Raw genomic sequence first — 9,568 nt, forward strand, 5'->3', positions numbered from 1 at the left:
AATGGAAACATAGAATGGAATCCAAAGTAATCATCATCAAATTGAACCCAATGTAATCATTAAATGTACTCAAATGGAATCATCAAATGGACTCGAATGGAATCATCAACGAATGGAATCGAATGGAAACATAGCATGGAATCCAAAGTAAACGTCATCAAATTGAACCCAATGTAATCATTAAATGGTCTCGAAATGAATCATCGAATAGACTCAAATGGAATCATCATCGAATGGAATAGAAAGGACTCATTGAATGCAATCGAAGGCAATCATCACCAAATGAAATCAAACGCACATAAATGGAATCATCATGGAATGGAAACGAATGGAAGCGTCGAATGGAATCGAATGGAATCATCATTGAATGGAATGGAATGGAATCGTCAATGAATGGAATCGAATGGAATCATCATCGAATGGAATCTAATGGAATCATCATGTAACAGAATCGAATGGAATGATCAACGAATGGAATCAAATGGAGAAATCGAATGGAATCCGTTGGAATCATCATAAATGGAATCGAAAATAGTCGTCATCTAATGGAATCGAATGAAATCATCATTGAATGGAATCGAAAGGGATCATCATCAAATGGAATCGAGTGGAATCATCAGATGGACTCGAATGGAATCATTGAATGGCCTCGAATGAAATCATCTAATGGACTCGAATAGAATAATAATTGGATGGAATCTTATGGAATCCTTGAATAGAATCAAATGGAATCATGAAATGGAATTGAACGGTAACATCAACGAATGGAATTGAATAGAATCATTGAATGGAATCGAAGCAATCATCATCTAATGGAATCAAGTGGAATGATCGAATGGAATTGAAGGGAATCATCATCAAGTGGAATCGAGGGGAATCTTCGAATGGAATTGAATGGAATCATTGTCGAATGGAATCAAATGGAATCAGTGAATTGAATTGAATGGAATCACCAATGAATAGAATTGAATGGAATCATCATCTAATGGAATCGAATGGAATCTTCGAATAGACTCGAACGCAATCATCATCGAATGGAATCTTGTGGCATAATCTAATGGGCACGAATAGAATCATCATCGAATGGAATCAAATGGAATCATCTAATGTACTCGAATGGAATCATCATTGAATGGAATAGAATGGAATCATCGAATGGAATCGAACAGAATCATCATCGAATGGAATCCTGTGGAATAATCTAATGGGCACAAATAGAATCATCATTGAATGGAATCGAATGGAATCATTGAATGGACTCGAATGGAATCATGATTGAATGGAATCAAATGCAATCATCTAAAGGAATCGAATGGAATCATAATCGAATGAAAACGGATGGAATCATTGAATGACATCAAATGGAATCATCTTCGAATGGAATCGAATGGAATCATCGAATAGACTCGAATGCAATCATCAGCGAATGGAATTGAATGGAATCATTGAATGGGCTCCAATGGAATCATCGTCAAATGAAATTGAATGGAATCATCATAGAATGGAATCGAATGGAATCATTGAATGCAATCAAATGGAATCATAATCGAATATAATCGAAAGCAATCATCAAATTGATTCGAATAGAATCATCGAATGGCTCGAATGGAATTATCATCGAACGGAATCAAATGGAATCATCTAATGTACTCGAATGGAATCATCCTTGAATGTAAACAAATGGAATCACTGAAATGAATCGAATGGAATCATCATCGAATGGAATCAAAGGGAATCCATAAATGAACTCTAATGGAATCATCATCGAATGGAATTGAATGGAATCATCGAATGGATTCAAAAGGAATCATCTTCAAATGAAATTGATTGGAATCACTGAATGGACACGAATGGAATCATGATCGAAGGGAATCAAATGGAATCATCGAATTGACTCGAATGAAATCATCGTCAAATGTAATTGAAAGCAATCATCGAATGGATTCAAATGGAATTATGAAATTGACTCGAATGGAATCATCGAATGCACTCCAATGGAATCATCGAATGGAATCTAATGGAATAATCCAATGGATTCTAACGGAATCGTTGAATGGAAATGAATGGAATCATTGAAAGGACTCAAATGGAATTATCAAATGGGCTCAAATGGAATCATCGAATGGACTCGAATGTAATCATTATTGAATGGAATTGAATGGAATCACTGAATAGAATTGCTTGGAATCATCATCGAATGGAATCAAATAAAATCATCGAATGGAATGGAATGCAGTCATCATCGAATGGAATTGAATGGAATAATCATTGAATAGAATAGAATGGAATCGTCGAATGGAAACGAATGGAATCATCATCAAATGGAATCGAATGGAATCCTCGAATGGAATCCAATGGAATCATCATCGAATGGAATCGAATGGAATCATTATGGAATAGAATTGAATGGAATCATTAAATGGAATCATCATCAAATGGAGTCCAATAGAATCATCGAATTGACTCGAATGGAATCATCATTGAATGGAATCGAATAGAATCATCGAATGGAATCAAATGGAATCATCATCAAATGGAATCAAATGATATCATTGAATGCACTTGAATGGAATCATCAACAAATGGAATTGAATGGTATCATTGAATGGAATCGAATGGAATCATCATCGAGTGGAATCTAAAGGATTCACTAAGTGGACTCCAATGGAATAATCATCAAATGGAATCGAATGGAATCTTCGAATGTACTCGAATGATATCATCGAATGGAGTAGAATGGAATCATCAAATGGATTCGAATGGAATAGTCATCAAATGGAATCAATTGAAATGATCGAATGGACTCGAATGGAATCATCATCGAATGGATTTGAATGGAATCATCAAATACACTCATATGGAATCATCATCAAAAGGAAATGAATGGAATCATCAAATGGACACGAATGGAATCATTGTTGAAAGGAATCATATGGAATCATCGTTGAATGGAATCATATGGAATCATCGAATGGGCTCAAATGCGATCATCAAATGGACTCGAATGGAATCATCATCGAATGGAATCAAATAGAATCATCGAATTGACTCTAATGGAGTGATCAAAAGGACTCGAAAAGAATTATCAAATGGACTCGAATGGAATCATCAAATGGATCCTAATGGAATTAACATCAAATGGAAAAGAATGGAATCATCAAATGGACTTGTATGGAATCATCGAATGGACTCGAATGGAATCATCAAATGGACTTGAAAGGAATTATCGAATGGACTCAAATGGCATCATCTAATGGACCCTAATGGAATCATCATTGAATGGAAAAGAATGGAATCATCCAATGGACTCGAATGGAATCATCATCGAATGGAATCGAATGGATTCATCGAATGTACTCGAATGGAATCATCATCGAATGGAATCTAATGGAATCATCAAATTGACTCGAATGGAGTCATCATCAAATGGCATTGAATGGAATCATCAAATGGACTCGAGTGGAATCATTGTCAAATGAAATCAAATGGAATCATCGAATGGACTTGAATGGAATCATCATCGAATGGAATCGAATGGAATGATCAATTGGACTCCAATGGAATCATCAAATGGACTAGAATGGAATCATCATCGAAAGGAATCAAATGAGATCATCATTAGATGGAATCAAATGGAATCATCACTGAATTGAATCGAATGGAATCATTGAAGAGAATGAGATGGAATCATCATCAAAAGGAATCAAATAGAAGCATTGAATGAAATCGAATGGAATCATAATCAAACAGAATCGAATGGAATCATCATCAAATGGACTCGAATGGAAACATCGTTAAATGGAATCAAGTGGAATCATCATGGAATTGAATCGAATGGTTCATCATCAAATGGAATCGAATGGAATCATTGAATGGAATCCAATGGATTAATCATCTTATGGAATCGAATGGAACCATCAAATGAAATCGAATGGAATGATCTTTGAATGGAGTCGAATGGAATTATCATAAAATGGAATCTAATGGAATCATCAACAAACGGAATCAAAAGGAATCATCATCGAATGGAATAGAATGGAATCATCAATGAATGGAATCGAATGGAATCATCACAGAAAGGAATCGTAGGGAATCATTTAAAGGAATCGAACGGAATCATCAAATGGAATCATCATCGAATGGAATTGAATGGAATCATCAAATGGACATGAATGGAATAATCAAATGGACTCGAATGGAATCATTGAATGGAAGAAAATGGAATCATAGATTGGACTCGAATGGAATCATCATCAAATGGAATCAGATGGAATCAACAAAGGGATTTGAATGGAATAATCGAATGGATTCGAATGGAATCAGCATCAAATGGAATCGAATTGAATCATTGAATGGACTCGAATGGAATCATCATCGAATGGAATCAAATGAAATCATCATCAGATGGAATCGAATGGAATCGAATGGAATCATCACTGAACGGAAATGAATGGAATCATCAAATGGACTTGAATGGATTAATCGAATGGACTCGAATGGAATCATAGAATGTAATCAAATGGAATCTTTGAATGGACTCGAATGGAATGATCATCAAATGGAATCAGATGGAATCAGTGAAGGGGCTTGAATGGAATCATTGAATGGACTCAAATGCAATCATCATTGAATGGAATCAAATGGAATTATCAAATGGAATCGAATGGAATCATCATGGAATGAAATCCAATAGAAGCATCGAATGGAATCAAATGGAATCATAGAATGGAATCAGACGGAATCGTCATCGAATGGATTCAAATAGAAGCATCGGATGAAATGGAATGGAATCATCATCAAACTGACTCATATGGAATCATCATCAAATGGACTCGAAAGGAATCATCGTCGAATGGATTCCAATGGAATCATCATCGAATGGAATGGAAGGCAAACATCATCTAATGGAATCACATAGAATAATCATGGAATAGAATTGAATTGCTCACCATCGAATGGAATCAAATGGAATCATCAAATGGAATCGAATGGAATCATCATCGAATTGAATTGAATGGAGTCATCATCGAATGGAATAAAATGGAATCATCCAATGGAAGAGAATGGAATCATCATTGAATGGAATCGAAAGGAATCATCATCGAATGGAGTCAAATGGAATCATCCAATATAATAGTATTGAATCACCATCGAATGGAATCGAATAGAATCATCAAATGAAATCAAATGGAATCATCATCGAATGGAATCAAAACGTCAATGAATGGAATCAAATGGAATCATAGAATGGAATCAAATGGAATCATCATCGAATTGAACCCAATGAATTCATTAAAAGGACTCGAATGGAATCATTGAATGGACTCAAATGGAATCATCATAGAATGGAATAGAATGGAATCATCGAATGGAATCAAATGGAATCATCATCAAATGAAATCAAATGGAATCATCGAATGGACTCGAATGGAATCATCATCAAATGGAATTGAATGGAACCATTGAATGAACTCGAATGGAATCATCATCGAATGGAATTGAATGGAATCATCGAATGGACTCGAATGGAATCATCATCAAATGGAATTGAATGGAATCATCGAATGGACTTGAATGGAATCATCATTGAATGGAATTGAAAGGGATTATCAAATGGACTTGAATAGAATCATTGAATGGACTCGAATGGAATCATCATCGAATGAAATCGAATGGAATCACCAAATGGACACGAATGGAATCATCATCTAATAGCATCGAATGGAATTATCGAATGGACTCAAATGGAATATCATCGAATGGAATTAAAAGCAATCATTCAATGGACTCCAAAGGAATTATCGAATGGACTCAAATGGAATCATTATCGAATGGACTCAAATGGAATGATAGAATGGTCTCGAATGGAATCATCAATTAGACTCAAATGGAATTATCGAATATCCTCGAATGGAATAATCGAATTTACTCGAATGGAATCATTATCGAATGGAATCAAATGGAATCATCAAATGGAATTGAATGCAGTCATCAAATGCAATTGATCAGAATCATCATCGAATGCAATCAAATGGAATCATCAAACGGAATTGAATGCAGTCATCATTGAATGGAATCGAGTGGAATCATCTTCAAATAGAATCGAATGGAATCATCGAACAGAAGTGAATGGAATCATCATCAAATGTAATCGAATGGAATCATTGAATGGAATCAAATGGAATCATCGAATGGAATTGAATTGAATCAGCATCAAATGAAATCGAATGGAATCATCATAGAATAGAATCAAATGGAATCATAGAATGGAATCATCATCAAATGGAGTCCAATGGAATCATCAAATGGACTCGAATGGAATAACCATCAAAAGGAATCAAATGGAATCATTGAATGGAATCGAATGGAATCTTCACTGAATGGACTAGAATGGAATCATCAAATAGACTAGAATGGAATCATCATCGTATGGAATCGAATGGAATCATCGAATGGAACTGAATGGAATCATCATCGAATGTAATCAAATGGAATCATCATCGAATGGAATCAAATGGAATCATCATCAAATGGATCACCATCGAATGGAATCGAAATGAATTAACATCAAATGTAGTGGAATGGAATCATTATCGAATGGAATCCAAAGGAATCATCATCGAATGGAACCGAATGGAATCGTCATTGAATGGAACCGAAAGGGGTCATTAACGAATGGAATTTCATGGAATCATCATCGAATGAAATCGAATGGAATCATCATCAAATGGAATCTAATGGAATCATCGAATTGAATTGAATGGAATCATCATTGAATGAATTGAATGGAATCATTGAATGGTCTCGAATGGAATTATTATCAAATGGAATCAAAAGTATTCACCAAATAGAATTGAATGGAATAATCATCGAATGGACTCGAATGGAATTTTCAACAAACGGAATGGAATGGAATCATCATCAAATAGAATCGAATGGGATCATCAAATGAAATCGAATGGAATCATCACCAAACGAATCGAAATAAAACAAAGAATGGAATCCAATGGTATCATTGAATGGAATCAAATGCAATCATCATTGAATGGACTTGAATGGAGTCATCATCGAATGGAAATGAATGGAATCATTTAATGGACTCGAATGTAATCATTGAAGGCACTCGAATGGATTCAACGAATGGAATTGAGTGGAATCATCACCGAATGAAATCAAATGGAATCACCGGATGGACTCGAATGGAAATATCATTGAATGGAGTCGAATGAAATCACGGAATGCACTCAAATGGAACAATCGAATAGACTCAAATGGAATCAACATCAAGTGGAATTAAAAGGAAACATCAAATGGACTTCAATGGAATCATCGAATGGACTCGAATGGAATCATCAAATGGAATTGAAAATAATCTTCAAATAGACTTGAATGGAATCATTGAATGTACTCGAATGGAATCATCATCGAATGGAATCAAATGGAATCATCGAATGGACCTGAATGGAATCACCATTGAATGGAATCAAATGGAATCATCGAATGGAATCTAATCGAATCATCAAATGGACCTGAATGGAATCACCATAAAATGGAATCAAATGGAATCATCAAATGGATTCTAATCGAATCATCGAATGGACCTGAATGGAATCACCATAAAATGGAATCAAATGGAATCATCGAATGGAATCCAATGGAATCATCATTGAATGGAATTGAATGGAAAAGTCATTGAATGGAATTGAATGGAATCATCATCGAATGGAATATAATGGTATCATCATCAAATGGAAAAGAATGGAATGATCAACGAATGGAATCAACTGGAGAAATTGAATGAAATCCATTAGAATCATCATCAGATGGAACCGAATGCAGTCATCATCGAATGGAATCAAATGGAATCATCAAATGGATTAGAAGGGAATCATCATAGAATGGAATTGAATGGAATCACTGAATGGGCTCGAAAGGAATCATCATCAAATGGAATCGAATGGAATCATTGAATGGACACGAATGGAATCATTGTTGAATGGAATTGAATGGAATCGTCAAATGGCACTGAATGGAATCATCATTAAATGGAATCTAATGTAATCATCGAATGGACTCGAAAGGAATCATCAAATGGACTTGAGTGGAATCATCATCGAATGGAATCAAATGGAATCATTGAATGGACTTGAATGGAATCTTCATCGCATGGAATTGAATGAAATCATAATCGAATGGAATCTAATGGAATCATCATCAAATGGAATCATCATTGAATACAATCGAATGGAATCACTGAATTGAGTCAAATGGAATGATCATCGAATGGCATTAAAGGGAATCATGGAATGGGATCGAATGGAGTCATCGAATGGAATCAAGTGGAATCATCGAATGGATTCGAATGGAATCATCATCGAATGGAATCGAATGGAATCATCGAATGGACTCGAGTTGAATCAATATTGAATGAAATCGAATGGAATAATCGAATGGACACAAATGCAATCATCATTGAATGGAATCGAATGAAATCATCATCGAAAGGAATCTAATGGAATCATCGAATGGAATCGAATGGAATCATCATCAAATATACTCAACCGGAAACATTGATTGTAATCGAATATAATCATCATCGGATGTAAAAGAATAGAATAATGAAACGGAATTGACTTGAATCAACATCACATGGAATTGAATGGAATCATAGAAAGGTATCGAATCTAATCATCATCAGATGGAATCAAATGTAATCATCATCAAATGGAATCCAAAGCAATTACTGAATGGACTTGAATAGAATCATTGAATGGAGTTGAAAGGAATCATTATCAAATGGAATAGAATGAAATCATTGAATGGACTCGAATGGAATCATCATCAAATGGAATCGAATGAAATCATCGAATTTACTCAAATGGAATCATCGTCATATGGAATCGAATGTGATCATCTTCAAATGGAATCATCGAATGGACTCGAATGGAATGAGCACACCGACTTGAATGGAATCATCAAAAGGAGTCAAATGAAATCATCACATGGACTCGAATGCAATTATCAAATGCACTCGAATGGAATCATCGAATGGACTCTAATGGAATCATCATCGAATGGAATCAAATGGAATCATCAAATGTACACGAATGGAATCATTGAATGGACTCGAATGGAATCATCGAATGCACTCAAATGGAATAATCATTGAATGTGATCAAATGGAATCATCAAATGGAATCGAAAGGAATCATCTTTGAACAGAACCGAATGGAATCATTGAATGGAATCAAAGTCAATCATTGTCGAATGGAATCAAATGGAAATATCATCGAATAGAATTGAATGGAATCATCAAAAGAAATCAAATGGAATCATCGTAAATGGAATCAAGTGGAATCATCGAATGGAATCTAATGGAATCATTGTCGAATGGAATGGAATGGAATAACTGAATGGAATTGAATGGAATCAGCAATGAAGGGAATCAAATGGAATCATTGTCAAATGGAATCAAGTGGAATCATCGAATGGAAACTAATGGAATCATTGTCGAATGGAATGGAATGGAATCATTGAATGGAATTGAATGGAATCACCAATGAATGGA

The sequence above is a fragment of the Homo sapiens genome, chromosome 7 (genome assembly GCF_000001405.40).
Source record: "Homo sapiens chromosome 7, GRCh38.p14 Primary Assembly".
NCBI classification, from domain to species: domain Eukaryota; kingdom Metazoa; phylum Chordata; class Mammalia; order Primates; family Hominidae; genus Homo; species Homo sapiens.